Source organism: Homo sapiens, chromosome 14, assembly GCF_000001405.40.
Source record: "Homo sapiens chromosome 14, GRCh38.p14 Primary Assembly".
NCBI lineage: Eukaryota > Metazoa > Chordata > Mammalia > Primates > Hominidae > Homo > Homo sapiens.
The window spans coordinates 52,648,514-52,670,325 of record NC_000014.9 but is presented as its reverse complement, the minus strand read 5'-3'; the positions used below and the strand labels follow the sequence as shown (position 1 = coordinate 52,670,325).

General features: G+C 35.4%; 1 protein-coding gene across 14 annotated transcripts in view, besides 1 other annotated feature; it reads left to right on the top strand.

The window, feature by feature from the left end:
* The window catches only part of ERO1A (endoplasmic reticulum oxidoreductase 1 alpha), a 55,644-nt gene that overhangs the window by 25,233 nt on the left and 8,599 nt on the right, over positions 1 to 21,812 (top strand). For 4 of the 14 annotated variants that reach the window (NM_001382474.1, NM_001382471.1, NM_014584.3 and 1 more), the window contains 7 exons: positions 3,831 to 3,951; positions 6,479 to 6,525; positions 9,022 to 9,033; positions 12,176 to 12,202; positions 12,317 to 12,409; positions 17,011 to 17,257; positions 18,018 to 18,087. In NM_001382474.1, the coding sequence (NP_001369403.1) occupies positions 3,831 to 3,951; positions 6,479 to 6,525; positions 9,022 to 9,033; positions 12,176 to 12,202; positions 12,317 to 12,409; positions 17,011 to 17,257; positions 18,018 to 18,087 (617 nt within the window). Of the gene's footprint in view, positions 1 to 3,100; positions 3,140 to 3,830; positions 3,952 to 6,478; positions 6,526 to 9,021; positions 9,034 to 12,175; positions 12,203 to 12,316; positions 12,410 to 17,010; positions 17,258 to 18,017; positions 18,088 to 21,812 lie in introns of all 14 variants that reach the window. The other 10 variants (NM_001382469.1, NM_001382465.1, NM_001382464.1 and 7 more) reach the window with 9 other exon arrangements.
* Positions 6,117 to 6,725: an enhancer, noted in NCBI's record as "OCT4-NANOG-H3K4me1 hESC enhancer chr14:53130319-53130927 (GRCh37/hg19 assembly coordinates)". NCBI's record gives its function as "activates a minimal SCP1, AML or CMV promoter by ChIP-STARR-seq in naive and primed H9 embryonic stem cells {active_cell/tissue: H9 hESC(naive and primed)}" and the evidence as "EXISTENCE:reporter gene assay evidence [ECO:0000049][PMID:30033119]".

Genomic DNA, 21,812 nt, shown 5'->3' with positions numbered 1-21,812 from the left:
TTCCTTTTTCTAAGTTGAATTGTTAGCCTCTTAATTCACTAAAAAAAATAAATCAAATTGAGTCTTGGTATTCTTCTGTGGCTCTTTTCTAGTGGACTAACGCTCTTTCAAAAATTAGTGAAAACGGGCCTGGCTTGTTGGCTTATGCCTATAATCCCAGCACTTTGGGAGGCCAAGGAGGGAAGATTGCTGAGCCTAGCCTGGGCAACATGGCAAAACTCTGTCTCTACAAACAATACAAAAATTAGCCAGGCCTGGTGGTGTGTGCCAGTAGTCCCAGCTACTCGGGGAGTGGGAGGATTGCTTGATCCAGGGGGTTGAGGCTGGAGTGAGCTCTGATTGCACCACTGTACTCCAAGCCTAGGACAGAGTGAGACCCTTTCTCAAAACAACACAACAAAAAATTAGTGAAAACAGTGATATAAATTCTTTTAATTATAAGCCAAAGATGCAGCCTACAATCTCCATAAAAGAGAAAGTATTTTTAATTTTGTGGCTTCTTTTTGGGGAAAATTGCTTTCCTTAATGGAAACCGTAGCCATGTTTTGGTATATACTTAGTTATAATTCCTTATTTCCAATTCTAAAATCTGGAAACTCTGAAAACTGAACATTTCTCCCCCTGCGTTTAGCAGAGGCTCATTTAGTGTGAGTATATGTTTCACTGTAGAAATATTTACGTGTTTGAATAAAGATTGCTCCCCCAGGTCCAGCTGGAGTAATATGCGATATATGTTGCATGTACTGTATTACCTTTGTAAAATCTGGAAAGTTCATTCCAGCCGAGACACGCATGGTCCCAGGCATGTTGGATGAGGGGTATAGACCTATATCAAGATTTGGACTAGTGAAGGAAGGGGATAAGATGTTCTCCCAACTCCCTTATTTTGCCATCTTTTCTACAAGGATTTTTTTTTTACCTTAAATATTGTTGTGAGATAAAACTAAATTTATAGTATGCAGCTATAATTTTTTTTAGTCCTCCACTGTTAGAAAAAGGATGGTAATATTTTAACCTTAATTAACATCCTTTTGTGACTACAATGTGCAGCACCAGGTGAGAATCAATGATTCATTTCTTATATGGTAGAGTTTGGTGAATCACTTGCCCATTTGTATTAGTGTCTTCTGTTAAAAAAAGCTGAATATTTTAAAGAAAGCTTTAGCAGGAATAAATAATGGATGTAAATGGTACGTGAAATATAGAAAGTATTTTTAAAATCCTAATTGGAAATTTGAGCTTTTGTCAAAAACAGGTTCTATTCAGTGATAGAAAACAGCATATCATATAGGTTTTGCAGAACGCATGTTTTCTGCTTCTAGGGCTGGATATTGGCATTTTCCTATAAGGGCCAAATGGGCTCTTAAATGTCTTTTCTTAGATTTTACAAAACATGTTTGACTAGTTTTCTATGAAAAACTTCAGGTTCTATTCAGTGATAGGAACCAGCGCATCATAAAAATTCTTGGCACAAATATAATTATAGTAATATTTAATATAATTATAGTATTACTTCAAATATAATTGTATAATTATAATTATAATTATAGTATAATTATAAGATTTGTAATATAATAATATAGTAATATTTATTTTTTATAAGCTTGAAGAAGAATGAAGTATTTATAATAAGTAGAATTATGAGGCAACAAATGTTTATCTCTAGGTAGAATATTTAAAAATTTAATCATTTCTTGGTGGTTAGTTTTCTCAAAGTCCTGGATACTGACCGTTGTTTATGTATTTTATTTTATTTCATTTTTATTTTTATTTTTTTTCCGAGGCAGAGTTTCATTCTCGTTGCCCAGGCTGGAGTGCAATGGTGTGATCTCAGCTCACTGTAACCTCTGTCTCCCGGGTTCAAGCGATTCTCCTGCCTCAGCCTCCCGAGTAGCTGGGATTACAGGCATGCATCACCATGCCCGGCTAATTTTGTATTTTTAGTAGAGATGGGGTTTCTCCATGTTGGTCAGGCTGGTCTCGAACTCCTGACTTCATGTGATCCACCCGCCTCAGCCTCCCAAAGTTCTGGGATTACAGGCGTGAGCCACCATGCCTGGCCTGCTGTTTATATATTTTAAACATCAGGGTTTAAAAAATGAATTTATTATAATTTATATGTGGCACTTGCCTTTAGTATTAATTGAAATGAACAGTTATCCATTCCTGAACTAGATGATTCCATGCTAATTTGTTTTTTAAGTCCTTATATTTTGTTTTTCTAGTTATTTTAATTGCCACTTCTGCATTGAACTCTGCTATTTTAAGATGCCGTCATTGTACTGCTTCTAGAAGCAAATTTCCCCCTAATTTATGCTTCTAATATACTGTGAATTGGAGTAAAAAATAACCAAGCTTAGGGTTTTTTTTTGTTTTTGTGGTTTTTTTTTAATAATAAAAATAGGTATAGTTGAGAGCTTGATGGACTCTAAGCACTTTTGTGCTCATATTTTTGTTATTGACTTTGGTTGCATTGAGACCGTTTTTGTCCACTTTTTAATTCTTTGTTGGCTCATACTGTTAAGCTTTATATATGAATAAAGTATTATTATAGTACCAAATAATTTCCCAAAGCCACTGGAGGACTATGGCCCATCTTTTTTTGAGACACAGTCTCACTGTGTTGCCCAGGCTGGAGTGCCGTGGTGCAATCACGGCTCACTGCAGCCTGGACCTCCTGGGCTCAAGTGACTTTCCCACCTCAGCCTCCTGGGTAGCTGGGACCACAGGCACGTGCCATGATGCCTGGCTAATTTTTGTATTTTTTATTGATGCCTGGTGTTTCACCAGGTTGCCTGTGAATTTTAGAATCACTCCTGGGCTCAAGCAGTCTGCCCCCAGGCCTCCGAGAATGCTGGGATTACAGGCATGAACCATCGTGCCCACCCTGGGACCGACCATCTTTTTTGTTTTGAAGTTATAACACATTATAAATGATAAATAAGTAACAGGGTCTGGATTCTAGCCTGGGTGTTCTGGCTCCAGAGCCCATGCTCTGGCTGTTCTGTGATGTTGGATGTTTAGGTTGCTTCCAATTTTCCCTTTTATAAATAATGTTGACACAGAATCATGCTGCATTGTAACTTTTGCTTTTGGCCAGATTGGATCTGCTGGTGGTCATCTAAGAAGAAAGTATTTGGTAACACGCAGTGTACAATACTAACACTCCTTCATTTACTGTAGTTATTGATGAACTGCTGTGGTTAATGTGGAGGGAAATGTATGTTATATTCTTTGTCTGAATAGCTTATGATAATTGAATTACCATGTTTCTTTGATTCTAAAATTCACGTATTCCTATTTTTACAATTCCTAAATCATAATGTTTTTGTAGCCAGTGTGTACAATTAATGTGGCTGTGTGTGTTTCTCTCTCTTTTCCTTCCTTTCTTTTCTGAGACGGAGTCTCGCTCTGTCACCCAAGCTGGAGCACAGTGGCGCAATCTCGGCTCACTGCAACCTCCGCCTCCCGGGTTCAAGTGATTCTCCTGTTGCAGCCTCTCGAGTAGCTGGGACTACAGGCGTGCACCACCACGCCCGGCTAATTTTTGTATTTTTAGTAGAGACAGGGTTTCACTATGTTGGCCAGGCTGGATTCGAACTCCTGACCTCAAGTGATCCGCCCACCTTGGCCTCCCAAAGTGCTGGGATTACAGGTGTGAGGCACCACACCCGGCCTCCTTCCTTTGTTTCTCCTGAAAAGTTGTTTTAAAATTCCTGACACATTGTTATATTTGTGGTGCGTTAGAATCAATGGAATACAGTCTTGTGTAGTAGCTTTTTAAGGTAACTGAGGATAAGAAAGGTTTAATAAGACATTTTATTTTACAGACATTCAGTCCCCTGAAGCTGAATATGTAGATTTGCTTCTTAATCCTGAGCGCTACACTGGTTACAAGGGACCAGATGCTTGGAAAATATGGAATGTCATCTACGAAGAAAACTGTTTTAAGTATGTGTCATTTTCATTTAGAAAAATTCCTATAAGATGTGGTGATTTCTCTTTATAAACAAAATCATAATGATTTAAAATTAAAAATCAAATTCACTTTGTTAAAAGATGTGTTTGTACAAGGAAACATGACTATTCATTAATCCAGTTTCCTTCTGGGGAAATATATAGACGTGAGTTTCCACAGATTTTTCCTTTAGACCTTTATGGGAGTATTGTAGGCCCTTGACAAATGTTCCTTGAGTCGATTATAGGATCTCATTTTATAGTTAAGGTAACCTAGAGCTGGAGAGGTTTGCTTCATTTCCCAAGATCACACAGTGGCAGTGTAGAGAAAAGAATATACAACTCTTAATTCTCTTTTTGGTGCTCTGTACACCCTTGTCTGTGGCTTTAATTATTTTACAGTTAAATTGATTTCAGAGAACAATTATAATAGGTATCATTTTTGAGCACTCACTGTATTCTAGGCATTGTGGTAAGCATGTTATATACATTTTCTTCTTCAGTCCTTGCAATAACCCTGTGTTGCAGTCATCACTGTATTATAGACAGAGAAACTGAGACTTAGAGAGGTTAAATGATTTGTTCAGTGTCAAAGATCTAGTAAGTGAAAGAGCCCGCTTTGTACGGGGTAACCATTAGGCTGGAGGCAGTTGCTGATCACTGGGTATCTGAGAAATGCTTCAGGTTACTCACACGTAAGTCTTGAGGTGCTAAACTTTGTACTCACTGGTTTTGGGATCAATGTATGTGCGAGCACATTATGCTGTCTTAGAGATGGAGAGAGTTCTGGGAAAGTCTTTGGAGTTCCCAAATATGGGGATAATATTATATATTTCACTTTTTATAAGTCAAATATAAGTATGAGATCAGTAATTGTGCTTACACCAATAAAATGTCAGACTGTGGTGTTTTTTTTTTTGACTTGAAGAATTTCTCCAGTTTGGAAAGTAGAGAGTTTTTATTAATTACTTATTTCTGCCATGTATTTTATTTAAATTATCTTGACTATTATTAGAAATGTTTGATTTACTGACTTAAAGATTTACTTTAAAGGTTTTTTTTTTTTTTTTTTGAGATGAAGTCTCACTCTGTTGCCCAGGCTGCAGTGACGTCATCTCTGCTTACCGCAACCTCTGCCTCCCAGGTTCAAGCGATTCTCCTGCCTCAGCCTCCTGAGTAGCTGGGACTACAGGCACACGCCACCACACCCGGCTCATTTTTGTATTTTTAGTGGAGACGGGGTTTCACCATGTTGTCCAGGCTGTTCTTGAACTCCTGACCTCAGGTGATCCACCCACCTCGGCCTCCCAAAGTGCTGGGATTACAGGGGTGAGCCACCATGCCCAAAGTGCTGGGATTACAGGCATGAGCCACCACGCCCGGCCCTGTTGTTGTTATTTTTAGTGTGAATTAAGAATGGGAGGCCAAGGCGGGCGGATCACGAGGTCAGGAGATCGAGACCATCCTCACTAACGCGGTGAAACCCCGTCTCTACTAAAAATACAAAAAATTAGCCGGGCGTAGTGGTGGGCACCTGTAGTCCCAGCTACTCGAGAGGCTGAGGCAGGAGAATGGCGTGAACCCGGGAGGCGGAGCTTGCAGTGAGCCCAGATTGCACCACTGCACTCCAGCCTGGGTGACAGAGTGAGACTCCGTCTCAAAAAAAAAGAATGACTCTGTCTCAAAGAAAAATAATAAAAGAATCCATGAAGCATTTGTTAGATTTGTATTACTTTTGTAGTCATTTTCTTACTAATTTGTGTCCTGATTCCCATAATTTCTAACAATATAAACAATGTATAAAGGGCTAAGTTAATTATATTGTGTATTTTAAAATACAGCTTACATATTCTGTTCTCAAAATGTCTCCAGTTTTGCAAATTTTTAAAATAGATGTTAAAACAATCCCTATAGTTTACTATTAATACTAACGCGTATTTATTTTGGGATTTAAAAGCACTTTAATGACATAGTAACTCTCCAGAAAATTTCTGTTTTTTCCTACTGAACAAACAACTTTTATTTAAATTGTAACAAACTTAGCTACAGGGCAAATTGATGTGTCTAAAGATTACCTAAGTGGAAAATAATCTACACTATTTTTTTTCCATTTTTAAATTTTAATGCTTATATTGAATATTTTTTGCTTATTTGTCTTTCATTTAGGGGTACACTTTGTGCCATACACACACACATATACATAGATATGTATATATAATATATATAAAAACATAGTAGTGACTCCGAGAGAAGAGCTTGGCTGATATTTTCTCTTCTTTTGTTTGAAGAAGTGATTAGGAAATGGCCTGCTGGCCGCCACAATGGGAGAAGATCAGGAACTATTATCACTACAACAAATAGCCACCCTCCCTTAAAGCAATTAGAGGAAACTAAGTGTTTTATAATCTCAATAAAACAATTTGATTTTGGATATTAAGCAGTTTTCTGAGATAATATCACTTAAATATAACATGATTGGTAACATATTTGTGTTGATATTTTTAATTCTTTTTACTTCTAGGCCACAGACAATTAAAAGACCTTTAAATCCTTTGGCTTCTGGTCAAGGTAAATTACTTATTTGCGTTGTTATATTATTTCTCAGCCAGGGAACTTTAATTCAAAGGAAGGGGAAGGCAAGATAAATGACAGTAACAGTTGAAGTCATATAATCCACAGTCCTGTTTCCATAGAGTTATGCCTCACGCTTGCAGAGATTGGTGCTTAAATTATTTGTACTTCAGTAAAAAGTATTTTTTTTTTTTTTTTGAGATGGAGTCTCGCTCTGTCACCCAGGCTGGAGTGCAGTGGCGTGACTTTGGCTCACTGCAAACTTCGCCTCCCGGGTTCACGCCATTCTCCTGCCGCAGCCTCCTCAGTAGCTGGGACTACAGGCGCCCGCCACAACGCCCAGCAAATTTTTTTGTATTTTTAGTAGAGATGAGGTTTCACCGTGTTAGCCAGGATGGTCTCGATCTCCTGACCTCATGATCCACCCGCCTCGGCCTCCGAAAGTGCTGGGATTTCAGGTGTGAGCCACTGCCCCTGGCCAGTAAAAAGTATTTTTATAATGAAGTTCCTGGTATTAGATTATCAAAAAATAAAGATTAGGATATATATTTATTCTATATATTTTTGCAGACATAGTAAAATGTCAGTTTTTTAATCCCACAGATAAATAAATATCCCAAACTCTCAAATTTTTTCTAAAACTTGAAATTATTGCAAATATTGGGCATCTGATTTCAACTTTACATGTCTTTATATCTTAATAACATTTTTAATATTCTGTTTTCACTCAAGGTCTGGCTCAAATGCTGCTTTTTCCATAAAACTTTCCCTGGTCCTTGTAACCAGAAGTATTTCTCCCTCCTCATGAAGTAATCTGATGCATGCGTTTGTTTTTACTTGTTTTCCTCTTACGGCCTTTCCCACTGTGTAGCATTATTTTATTATTATTTATGTATCTATCGATCTACCCTAGTACTCTGCCATATGGGTAGCATTTATCTGTTTTATCTCTCTATATAGAGCCTGACACATAATAGATGGAGTAGTTTGTTAGATACATGATCAGTGAAAATTGCTCTCTTCATTTAATGGTCTTGTCTACAATAGTGAAAGCCAGTTGTTCTTTCAGCAAATGATTATCCGCCATTTACTACCTGCTAGGCACTGTGTAGATGCCAGAGGGGATGTAAAATTAAAATTTACAAAAACCCTACCCCATCTGTAATATGAAGAATGGTTTGTTGAATAAGCCATTTCAGTGTATGAGTTCAGACTTTTTCTTTAGAAATTATGTATCCTTATTCTCTTCAAATATGTGCTTACTGATTAAAATCTTTAATGTGCTTTTAGCAAAAGTGTAAGGTTTTCATTTTAAAAATTTATTTGAAAAGATGCTGATCTCAAATAATAAATATAAATTTCCTCCTAGAAGGGGATGAGATTGCATCATTCCCTAAATTCTGGCAGATTTCTCTTTCTTAGATTAGGAATGAAAAATCTTTAAATAAGGCTTTTGAGTTTATACAGAGTCACATGTGGTGACTCAGTGGAAGCCATTGATTTAATATCAGATGAAATGCAAATTAATAGAAAAGAGGTGATCATTATGATCTCACATTATGATTTGATAAAGTAATTAACCACGTCACTTACCATAAAGATACATAGGAACAATTTAAATGTTTATCATTAGGGAACTGGTTAAATGACTTATGGTATAGTCACATAGAAAATAGCCATTGTAAATATTGCTGTAAATTTTTATTCATTTAAATCAAAAGTGACCAATAACACAGTGAGGAAAATCAGGTATCAAAACAATATGTATAATAAATTTATAATATATCTATAAACTAAAAAGATATTCACTAAAATGTAAATAGTATTTATCTTTGAGCTGGGGAATTATGAATAATTTTTTATTTTGTCTTTTTTTTAAAAACATATATTTGCAATGATTATATATTTCTTTAATAAACCGATGGCATTAAAAAAAGTGGGCAAAATTTTTGAAGACAAATTTTCAGTAGTAAATAAGCAGCTGCACACAAATTACTGTATTATGTATAATTTGAATCTTATAAATAGTCTATGAAAATATTCCCGACTAAGGTTAAATATTATAAGGCCAGGCTGGAGGTTTCAAAGCAATAATAATAATATTTAACAGAAACTACATTATAGCTTTAGGATAAATAAATGTGGAAAAGTCTCTGTCAGCCAAGTAAACGTAGGTCCTTAAGATATTGAAGAGTACTCTCAGGTGATGGATTAGTTTTTTCTCTCCTGTCAGGGTATATTAAATCTCACATGAGCTGAACCTCTTTATGTACACTCATGGAGATAACACCATTTAGTCAAATCAGGCATAATTCATATCACTACCAGATAGAGTTGCAGTCACGAATGTCTCACTTTCAGATTTTACTTGTGTGAATGAACTGTTGGACTAAAACTAACCATTATTAAAGTCTTATTTTTATGAAAGTGTAGCATTATAAAAGGGGCACTGGAAGGAATTTATTTTAATAAACATTTTGTTTTGCTTTTCAGGGACAAGTGAAGGTAAGTATAATTTATTATATATTACATATATGAATTTGTTTATACATTCAGATGTTTATTATGGCAAAGTTTATTTTTTTCTTCTCACCTCTAAAAATCAGAAGAACTTAAGTTTTACTTATTTATCTGAAAGTCTGGAGGTACTAGCACAGATTAAGGGAAAGTGACTTTGTGTCTGGGTTCAGGCATTAGAAACAGTGTGCCTCAGCCTCTGATCATTCATTTGCACATTTTACCTCTCTGAATGTGGAAGCATGTCCACTCCCCGTCTCCCCCATTGCCTCAGGCCAGGGAAATGTCCTCTCTCTTTTACTGGTTGAACTCTAGGATCTGCTGGGTTTCATGTAGGAAGGTTCTGGGCATGATGAGTATTGATTTCAGAGCTGGCTTCTAAGGTTGATGCTGACTTGTTGGATGTAGGTGTCATTGCCAAGTCTAACTAATGCTAACAGTTTCAGCATACATTAGGTTTACTTTGTGTTTTTGCTTTAAGGGTGAAAATGAAATGACATTTGTTATTCTTAAGACCATATGCTTAACAATATGAAAAGACTTAATGGTGCTTAGCTTTAGTCTATCTAGGTGAAATTGCTAAAATGTGAAGTATCACTTTTCTTTCCCTCAAAATCCTCTATTTTCTGAACATAATTCTTATGAATTGCTTTTGCATTATGTCTAAATAACAGAATACTAAAGTCTGATAACAATGCTATTTTATTATTGTGCTTTATATTATATTAACTGTAGCAGCTAAATAAAATGCTGACTCAGAACTGTTTGGAAGAGAAATTGTTTAGCAGTGAGATTATTTTTCCAAAGATGCCTCATATTTGCTACTGGTACATGTGATTCTATGATTTTCAGTTTCAAGTAACCTTATTTTACCTTGAGTATTAACCTAGTTCTATGCTATATTGTTAGCCACATTAGAGGAGGCTACTATGATTTTTCAATTCTATTTGAAGACCTTATTATCAGAAAAATAGATCGTTAACCTGTGGGAGCCATCCTTAGAGAAACTGTCTTATTATAAGTATTGATTTTGGCCAAATATCAAAGGGTTATTCCTGAGAGCTATCATATTAAGTGATTGTTTAGACCACAGTCAGGTCAACTTGAGAACAGGTACTTCAGGATTATAATATTGAACTGATTTCTTGGCTGGGCGTGGTGGCTTATGCCTGTAATCCCAGTACTTTGGAAGGCCAGGGCTGGCTGGTCACTTGAGGCCAGGAGTTTGAGACCAGCCTGGCTAACCTGGTGAAACCCTGTCTCTACTAAAAATAGAAAAATTAGCTGGGCGTGGTGGTGCACACCTGTGATCCCAGCTGTGTGGGAGGCTGAGATGGGAGGATCACTTGAGCTTGGGAGGCGGAGGTTGCAGTGAGCTGAGATGGAGCCACTGCCCTCCAGCCTGGGTAACAGAGCAAGACTGTCTTTTTTCTTTTTTTTTTTTTTTAAAAAGGACACACAGACACACACACACACACACAAACACTGAACTGAAAATTTCACTGGAAGCCTAGGTCCTAAGCAGTATTATCCCCTAACTCCCTAATTCATGATCAAAAACTTGAAAAAAAGAACCTTGAAAATTTTTATAAGGAAATAAGTTCCTTATAATCCCACCATCCCCAAATAATTAATAATAATAACTCTGTGCCAGGCACTTTTCTAAGCAATTTACAAATATGATTTTATTTAATTCTTTCACCAATCCTAGGGGTATTATTCCTGTCTCCATGTTATAGGTGAAGAGAGGTTCAGCAACTTGACTAAAATAATATGATTTGTAAGTAGCAGAGTTAAGATTTAAATCAGGCAGTTTGACTCCAGGAACCATACCCTTAGTTACTACCAGATACGCTTCTCTGCTAACATTTTGATATTTATGTTTTCTATATATAAGTAGTTTTGTCCAACACTTGTCAGCATTAAAGATGATCATATTTTTATCTTACTTGATAGGTAGAGTCATGTATCTTTTGTTTTCATTTGCATTTTTTATTGCCCGTAAGACCAAACAATTTTTGTCTGTTATTACCATATGTATTTTTTCCTTTGTGAATTTTTAAATTCATATTATTTACCTCTTTTTTAAGGGGGCACTTTAGCATTTTTATTTAGTTTATGAGCTTTTTATATATTTAGGATCTAATCCCTTTGACATATTTGCAACATACATTTTACTGAGTTTGTTGTTTGCATTTTGCTTTTGTTTATGAAGTGTTCTGACAAATAGATGTTTTGAGTTTTTATATATTCCAGTTTATTGCTTATTCCCTTTGCCATTCCTTCCATTATTTTTATGCTTGTTTGGTTCATTTTTAACATTACTGTAAGCAACTTTAGTAGAAAACACTGTACAGTGTTTATCATCTCTGTAGCAAATGCATACATGAATCTTTACAGAGTTGTATGATTATTTCTTATGCCTTTTGTATAATATTTCAAGTAAACATTTTTATGTATTGCCATGTTCTACATTCTTGCTATTTTCATAGTTGTATGTTATTTTACCATGTTCACTAGTTAGATAGTGTTCTATCATGTTAATTTAGGCATTATCGTATTTGTAGAATTACTAGGCATTAAATATATTGACAATAATCTTATTAGGTCATAAGAATATAAGTGATACTTGGTGTTTATAACATTTTCCTGAATTGCTCTTTTGAAATAGTGAATGGCATGTAATATTATCAGCTAAATACAAATAGTACCCCTCCAATACTGTCTTATCATTTTAATTTTTTTCTAGTTTAAAAAGCATGTAATGAATCCTTAGTTTTCATGGCATGAATTGTTATCAAGGCTAGGTATTTTCCCATTCTTGACTGATTTACTATTTAAATTCTGTATTTTGACCTCCTGTAAAACACTTTAACCAGAACGTTATGAGACTGGGTCAACCTAAGGCAATGCTAAAGCCTTTTAAAGACCAAGCAGCAGGCTGGTACTTAACTGAATCCATAACCTTTCTTCTTCCTTTCGAGAAATTGCAATTAAGACTTGGACCGTTAGGTTAAATAATCTTTACATTGTTGTTTGGCACAAATTTGCTATAATGCTTTAAAACTTTTGAAAAACTTGTATTTTGGCATTTTTCTATTCTTATGACTTATTTTTCTTTTGATTTCAGAGAACACTTTTTACAGTTGGCTAGAAGGTAATTAGAAACTTTAAAATAAATTTCAATGATGGTTTTTTTCTCATGAGATTAATTTTATGTCTACAAGATTCACATATGAAATTTTATTTCTAAGTCACTGCTTTTTCTTAGGTCTCTGTGTAGAAAAAAGAGCATTCTACAGACTTATATCTGGCCTACATGCAAGCATTAATGTGCATTTGAGTGCAAGATATCTTTTACAAGGTATGTGACATTTACTTTTATTCAGTCTACCACTCTTAATTTTAGATATTCTTAAAATTTTCCTGGCATTTACCTGAATGGGAAAAGATTGACCTGATTGAATATTAGGCAGTAAAAATTCACTCTTAAATGGTAGTAATCAGAAAGGTGGGAACTGTAGATACAATTGAACAGTTTAACATACTCTTAGCTCTCTTCACCTTCTTTTAAGAAGCTGCTCAAAATTGTCCATATCACTTTGGAAATATTCTTGTTTTCTTGTGGGAATTTAAATAGTTCCTAACAGCACAGTTTGCTATTTGATAGATATTGTTGTATCAGAACCTTTTTATTTGTGTGCTCGTATCAGGCCTGGAGTTTAAATGGGTAAAAGCCTTTCCTGCTGCTGTTGATGCCTTAATACTGTTGAAAATGAGACTGTGGTTGATTTTCATCAGTACCATATTTCTTCTGGAATTAAAGTATCACACTCTGAGAAACAAAATATAGAAACTTCCATTTTATTCATTGATTGATTGCTTGATTGATTGAGACAGGGTCTCACTCTATTGCCCACTCTAGTGTGCGATGGCCAAAACTGGGGCTTAGCCTGGGAGGGCACTTGGCTTTGCCCAGGAAAAAGTTTGAACCTCTCCTCATGAAGGAGAGCTGTCCCATAGGCAGTGTGCCCAGAGTAGCAGCTTGGAGGCAGTTCTGCAGCCATATTTATAGTCCACTTTTTATTATATGCAAATTATGAGGCAGATTATGCAGAAATTTCTAGGAAAAGGGTAGTAACTTCTGGGTCATTGCTATGGAAAGGGGTGGTAACTTCTGCATGTTGCCATGGGAATGAGAAACTGACATGGCACCCTGGTGGGTGTGCCTCATGGAAAGCTGCTTCAGCCCCCTCCCTGTTTTAGCTAGTTTTCAATTTGGTCCAGTGTCCTGAGTCCCACCTCCTGAGCCAAGTCCTACCTTCTACCTCATGACTACAGGAGCATGCCACCATGTCCAGCTAATTTTTCACAATATTTTTTGTAGAGACAAGATTTGGCCATGTTGCCCAGGCTGGTCTTGAACTCCTGAGCTCAAGTGATTTGCCCATCTTGGCCTCCCAGAGTACTGGGATTATAGCCGTGAGCTACTGTGCCTAGCCGTAACTTTGATTTTAAATGGCGGTTTAAACTCATTAGTAATTTTACTGTTTTTTTTTTTTTTTTTTTGAGACAGAGTCTTGTTCTGTCACCCAGGCTGGAGTGCAGTGGTGTGATCTTGGCTCACTGTGACCTCTGCCTCCTGGGTTCAAGTGATTCTCCTGCCTCAGCCTCCTGAGTAGCTGGGACCACAGGTGCATGCCACCACACCCAGCTAATTTTTTGTATTTTTAGTAGAGACGGGGTTTCACCATGTTGGCCAGGCTGGTCTCGAATTCCTGACCTCAGGTGATCCACCCGCCTTGGCCTCCCAAAGTGCTGGGATTACAGGCTTCAGCCACTGCACCTGGCCTAAACTCATTAGTAATTTTAGATCATCATTTTCAAATTGTGTGTTTAGGTTTTATGAATATGTTTATATTCAGAAGTTTGACTATTATTTTTTTTCATCTTTAAAAAAGGAAATTTTATTATTTTCCATCACATGAATGAACTTGGAGGACATTATATTTGTCAAAATGAGCCAGACACAAAGATTATTATTTCATGATTTCACTTACAAAGGGATTCTAAAAAACTTAATCTTATTGAAGTAGAGAGTAAAGTGGTGGCCACCAGACACCAAGGTATTTAGGAGACAGGAGGGTTTGAAAAGATGTTGATCAAAAAATACATAATTATAGTTAATAGAAGTTCAAGAGATATTTTTGTACAGCGTAGTGACTATAGATCAAAATAATGTATTTGTAGTTTTGAAAAATGCTGACAATGTCACTTGCTCTTGCCACAGAAATGTTAACTATGTGGCGTAATTACCTAGAATTAAGCATTTAACAATGTATATATACTTCCAAACATTATGTTTTACAAAATAAATATACATTTATTGATTACAGATGGTAATGGTATGAAAGCCACTGAAAGGGCAGGCGTTGCTTATGGTCTTATGACTGGCCACTTTGTGAACACAATAAACAAGTTTGCATTAAAAAAACCCAGAAAATGGTTTAATCTAAAAGTTGCCATGATCTTCAGAATTTTTCCAGAGAAAATGACCAAGAAGTTGACTACAGTTAGGTGACTAAGAATATAAGCTGTAGACACCTTCACCCACTAAAAAAAAAAATCACATAAAATAAGAGTGAGAAATTCCTCTGAGTTGTAATATCAATATGGAAAAGAAATATTATTCCAGATTTCAAATCCACAGAGATCATTTTATTATTTTGCAGCCTTTAACATTCACACTTAAAAATAAAAGATTCTACATGGAAACATGTGCTGTAAGTGTATCATAGAACATTAAATTTAAAATTATTCACTTACCATTAACTCTCCTAATACTTTAATTTCTATGATATATTTTCTAGCAAATTAGATAGATGTCACACTTTGTGTAAGAATTTTTTTTTTTTTGAGACAGAGTCTTGCTCTGTCGCCCAGGCTGGAGTGCAGTGGTGCAATCTTGGCTCACTACAACATCTGCCTCCAGGATTCAAGCAATTCTCCTGCCTCAGCCTCCTGAGTAACTGGGATTACAGGCATGTGCCACCACGCCCGGCTGATTTTTGTATTTTTAGTAGAGGTGGGGTTTCACCATGTTGGTAAGGCTGGTCTCAAACTCCTGACCTCGTGATCCACCTGCCTCGGCCTCCCAAAGTGCTGGGATTACAGTTGTGAGCCACCACGCCTGGCCTGTGTAAGAATTTAATAAGATTTTCCTTTTACAAACAGAGAAAAACAATGCTAAGTTACTTAATCCTCTCACCTGTGGACAGGTTTGCCTTTTATCTTAACTGATTTGAAAGTTATATTGATAAGCAAACTCTCTAGTTAAAACCAATTTTTGAATGCATTAAATAAATACCAACTTTCTCATCAAAACCTACAAAGTACCATGTAAAATGACATGGCATGAAGACAACAGTGAGAAAACTGTAGCCATCACATAGAAAAAGAAGGAGAAGGGCTGTGATGAATACACAGTTAGAAGACACATAATAGGACAAACAAAACTAAAGATAACTAGGAAATAAACAGAATTTCTCTTAAAATTCAGCAAGATTTAGCTTTGCAGCATGGAAAAATGTTATCTCCACATGAAGAATCAATCTTATTTCTTCACTATTGATATTTTCCTTCTCTGACTTGAACTTACAAACTAACTGTAGCAGGAATATTTATGGCTTATCATGGAGCATCCGTTACACAGCAAGTACTGTGTGTTTGTTTGCTACATTTATATATAAAAAACATCCTCATGACTTCTGAAGCATCCCTAGTTCTTACCTGAACAAATTGGCTCAATAAACATATAAATTTACTTATGTCAATTATAATGAGAATAAAATAAGTAAAAAAAAATACAGGCTTATGTAGAATTCTTTAATTAAAAGAACAAATGGAATGTCCTAATTAAATGAAATGTAATACACAATTTTGGAAATACATCTAAAAATTGTTTTGTGTGCACTACTATATTTTATAAAAATCATTCTTATTAGTCATGACCAGCTCACATAATACCTCATAAACTATAAAAGAAAAAAATTATAAGAGACAAGAAAATTATAAGTCTAGCATGAGAACCAGGCAAAGAAAAACAGAAAATGTTCATGGGGAGATTCTGAATCATAAGTCAGAAGATTTTACAGTAATGAATTTAATAAAAAGCAGAGTATAGATTTGCTTTCAGCATTTTTGAGGTTTTCAGTTTTCTAGTAAATTTGTCACCTTATTAAGATATTTGTTTTGTTCCAATATTGCTCTATTCTTCTGAAAACAGGTATAAACTCATACTCACCCAAACACACTTACTCTATAATTTTCTTGCACCTAAGGTCTATTTTTAGAGTAATATATGTGCATAGCTAACTCTATGTAAATCAGAACTAAAATTCTGTATGTTTGCAGGCAGAGAGACCACATGTTCAAAGAAAAATACATAACAAATTTTTTTAAATGTTTAAGCAGAACTCAGAATTTTAAGACTCAGGATTTTATTTATATTTATAAATAATTTTTATTATACCCATAAAAATGACCCTATAATCAATAGCAACTTAATTGTACATTTTAAAGTAACTAAAAGTGTAGAGTTGATAGAAATTTCATTTGCCCTGATGTGATTAATACATAAATTATATGCCTGTATCAAAAGATGCCATATATGGCATCAATATAAGCAGATACTATGCACCTGCAAAAATTAAGAATGATTTTTATTATTAATAAGACTTGCTTTCTCAGTAAAACATTGAATTTGTTTTAAGGATGGGTTCTAGAAAATAAAATATTAATATAAAACTATTAAAGGCTAAATTGTGAAAAACCATTTTCTTGGTTGTTATTATATAACTTAAAATGCAAAATGAAATTAACTTCTATAGGCATGAATAACCTAATATAATTAAAGTAAAAATTGTCAAATTCAGTTTTTAATATTTAATTCTTCTTCCTTCTTAGAGACCTGGTTAGAAAAGAAATGGGGACACAACATTACAGAATTTCAACAGCGATTTGATGGAATTTTGACTGAAGGAGAAGGTCCAAGAAGGCTTAAGAACTTGTATTTTCTCTACTTAATAGAACTAAGGGCTTTATCCAAAGTGTTACCATTCTTCGAGCGCCCAGATTTTCAACTCTTTACTGGAAATAAAATTCAGGATGAGGAAAACAAAATGTTACTTCTGGAAATACTTCATGAAATCAAGTAAATTATATATTAAACTTTATACATTAATAGAAGAGTGACAATTAATGTACAAGATAAATTTTTTTTTTTTTGAGACAGGCTCTCCCTCTGTTGCCCAGGCTGGAGTGCAGTGGCACGGTCATGGCTCACTGCAGCCTTGATTTCCTGGGCTCAAGCAGTCCTCCCATCTCAGCCCAAGAAGCTGGGACTATATGTGCAAACCACCACACCGGGCTAATTTTTGTATTTTTTGTAGAGATGGGGTTTTGCCATGTTGTCCAGGCTGGTCTCGAACTCCTGGGCTTAAGTGATTGATCCACCCACCTTGGCCTCCCAAAGTGCTGGGATTACAGGTGCAGGCCACTGTGCTCTGCCTGAAATTTTTAATATTCATTTAGAGAAAGGAAAACTATTTAGAACATAATTAAAAGTTAATTTTGCTTGTAGGTCTTTTCAGATTGAATTTTGCTTTTGTTTTTATTTTGATTTGGGTACTGAGAGGCACACATTTTTAGTTTTAAGAGCCATTCTTTTAGTATTTGATAATGTATTATTTTCATGTTTATTTGAACAAATTGGATTTGGGGTCAAATTTCTGTATTACGCAGTTAGAATCAAGATTTGAGGTTTGAGGATAAGAATTTGATTTGGGGCATCGGAGTGTTGGTTTTACTATGTTTTCTCCTCTTTATTTATCATGACCAGTAAAATGTTGTATTAGCAGGACTTTTAATATTTATAACACATGAAAATGAATATTCTCTGTTTTAAAACGCAGGTCATTTCCTTTGCATTTTGATGAGAATTCATTTTTTGCTGGGGATAAAAAAGAAGCACACAAACTAAAGGTAATTACTTTATACTTAACTGTTAGATACAAACTGATTAACACTTATGCAGATATGAATATATAGTACTCATAGAAGTAGAGAGTAGGCCATAGAAGTAGAGAGTAGGCCAGGGGCAGTGGCTCAGGCCTGTAATTCCAGCACTTTGGGAGGCTGAGGTGGGAGGATTGCTTGAGCCCTGGAGTTCAAGACCAGCTTGGGCAACATCGTGTGAAACCCTGTCTTTAATTAAAAAAAAAAAAAAAAAAAGTAGAGAGTAGAATGATGGTTACCACAGGCTGGGGGTGGGGAGTGGATGGGGAAAACGGAGATGTTGATCCATGGGTACAAAGTTTCAGTTAGGGAGAATAAGATTTAGTGATCTACTGCACAGAATGGTAACTATGGTAATAATGCATTATATATTGCAAAATTGCCAAAAGTGTAGATTTTAAGGTTTCCACTATACAAAAAATGGTTAAGTATGTGAGGTGATGGATTTGTTAATTAGCCTGATTTAATCACTTCATATTGTAAATATACATTAAAACATCACATTGTATCCATAAACATATACAATTTTTGTCAATTAAAACATAAACACATGTATATATACTTAACAGTATATCTTGATATACATCTTGAAATTAAGAAAAAATCAGAGTCATAATCTTTCTTTTCCTCAAAAAAATCAAGTCCAAAGGCAGGTGCCACTTAAAGTCTATTTTGCATTATATTCAAAGTAACACTGATATCTGTATATTGCCGTACACTTTCTAGATGCCTTTCACATTGATGATCTCATATAATAAATAGAGGTAATAAAGGAAATGGATCCAATGCATGAGTAGCGTATTAGTCTATCTTTTGCTGAAGAGAATTCTGAAGATGATATTGTTTAATTAAAAGATCTTCATTAGTGGGAGAAGGCACAGTGTGATGTTTTGTCATTCATCTTTTTTTATTATTATTGAGAAGGGATCTCACTCTGTCACCCAGGCTGGAGTGCAGTGATACAATCACGGCTCATTGCTACCTTGAAATTCTGTGCTCAAGCGATCCTCCCACCTCAGCTTTCTGAGTAGCTTGAGTAGCTGGGACCACAGGCACATATCACCATGCCTGTCTAACTTTTTTTTTTTTTTTTTTTTTTGGTAGAAACAGGGTTTTGCTATGTTGCCCAGGCTGGTCTCAAACTCCTGGGCTCAAGCGGTCCTCCCACCTCAGCCTTCCAAAGTGCTGGGATTACAGGCGTGAGCCATTGCACCCCCTGCCGTTCATCTTATTCACTGGGAATTAAAGACAGTTATGAATACCAGCGTGCAGCTGGGGAAAGAACAGATTCCATACCCCACGGAATGCGGTCTGGTCATTGCCTTGCCTCTTAATAGGGTCTGACCTCAGGCAAGACCATCTCTGAGTATGTATTTGCCTCATAATACTATAAATATCAAACATTACCAGGAAGATTTATTACACACTCATTATGTGCACAGCACGATTTTTTGTCATTAAAAGGAAAGAGAGCTTCCACCCTCAAGGGATTTCCAGAGGGGGTCAAGTAAAATTATATTTCTCTTCTCTCTTACAAAGTTCCACTGGTAAGTAAAGGCAGGTGGACCTCCATACTACTGGGTTTGATCTGATTTTATATATACATACATATATATACACACACACATGAAATTATATATATGTACATATGAAATCATATATATATATCACAGAATCTTTGTAGAGTAATATTATTGAGTAGTTTTTTTTTTTTTAAGTAGGTTTAAAATTAGTACCTCTTGCCTGGATGTCATCTGGTCATAGAAAAATAGTAAAAATAAAGTTAGTACCTCTTACTGAACAGGTACTGAAACACAAGATAGAGAATATTGTTAAGATATGGTAACAATTAACAATAATTTGGGCTTTGTCTTAATAAAGATACTAGATATAGATAGATACTAGATATGGTAGATATGTATAGGTAGATTTCTATACAAATATGTCTGATTTCATACATATTGTATATATATTTTTGTTTTTTTAAGAGATAAAGTCTTATTTTATCACCAGAGTTGAAGTGCAGAGGCATAATCATAGCTCACTGCAGCCTGGAACTCCTGGGTTCAAGCCATCTTCCCACCTCAGCCTCCTGAGTAGCTAGGACTACAGGCTGGCACCACTATGCCCTGCTAACTTTTAAAATTTTTTTGTTGAGTTGGGGTCTCACTATGTTGCCCAGGCTGGTCTTGAATTCTTGGCCTCAAGCAATCTGCCTGTCTTGGCCTCCGAAAAGTGCTGGGAGTACAGGTGTGAGCCACCACCATACCCAGCCTGATTTCATCAAAATATTTACAAAAATCTTCCTCTGCTTTTCATTCTTTCTTTCTGTAATGAAAGAACCTGATTTTATGCACTCAGTTTTTTTGCTGTTAGATAATACTTATTCTTGACTTCCCATCTACCTCCTACTTGAAGCATTCTTGCTACAAATACATACCTCAGTGCTTATATAATCTGCCTAAACAGCTTCCAGGAACTAGAAAGTGAGGGGGAAGATGCTGTAATAAGACTTCTTTTTTTCCTACTATTTTCAATATGTTCCTTTTTTTTTTTAGTTTACTTGCTGCTTTATTGGAAAGTGTTCTGGCATCAGCTCTTTTTAAATCATGCAGATTAGAAAGATTTCTCACAATGTTTTAATTTGATCAAAACTCGGAAACACTCACCTTTAATGTCCTATGAAGTTTAGGTAGAGAGTCTTGATGTAACAGAATTTTTCTGAATCTTTTACAGGAAAGATGTAAAAAACAAAACATGCTACTATCAAAGATTTACTTTTTTAAAAAGCAGTTTCTGGTAAACATCGATTTAAACAGTCATATTTACAAATTAATTTTAAAAATCTCATCTTGTTTCCTTAGTACCCTATCAATGTATGGTTAGAAATAGAGGACTTGTATGAAGGAGAATTATTTAGCATTCAATTCAAATAGAATACGATCTCATTTGAAGACTTGTAAAGTATTTGAGAATTTGGGCAAGAATTGGTCAGTTGGTTTCACTGAATATAAATCACAGCATGCTTGATCATTCTATTGACTGGCTGTAATTTAAAGTGATGACCTAAAACTGTATGTCTAAACAAGGAAAATCTGTAAGTGATTTAGGTACTGGTTATTTTAAGGACCATACCTTTTTCTAACCTGAGATAATTAGGGGATATACTCAGGTTATTGTACATAATTGTTATTTGTTAAGTCACAAGGATTTTCTCCTGTGAAATCCTTACTAATTTTTACTAATTTGATCTAGTAAATTTCTAGCCTATTAATTTGGTCCTAGCATATTAAGTTCACTTAAGCAGAAGATGCATGCTATTTGATGTGCTTGGTTTTAATTTTACAATGTTTATTTGGCTATTGTAAGCAGCCATGCCTGCTCTCTGTACATGTCATACAAAGACTTACTCAAGAGCTGTCACATTCAAGTATTTGAATTAACGTAGAAGCAAACATTGAAATTAGCGTCTACAAAAGCAAGCACAGTCTTTTAGAACAGAGGCTTCCAACTCTCACAAGTATGGGAGTCTCTTATACTCAGGAACTTTCAAGGCCTCTTCTCATGACAGAGTATTTTTAGTATCTGTTGATTTTGAAAATATGATTGCCAAAAAGCCACCATGCATTTAGTAACACTTTAAAAGTAAAAGTTGTGTTTTATTGATCATAACATTTCTATCCATTTGGAAA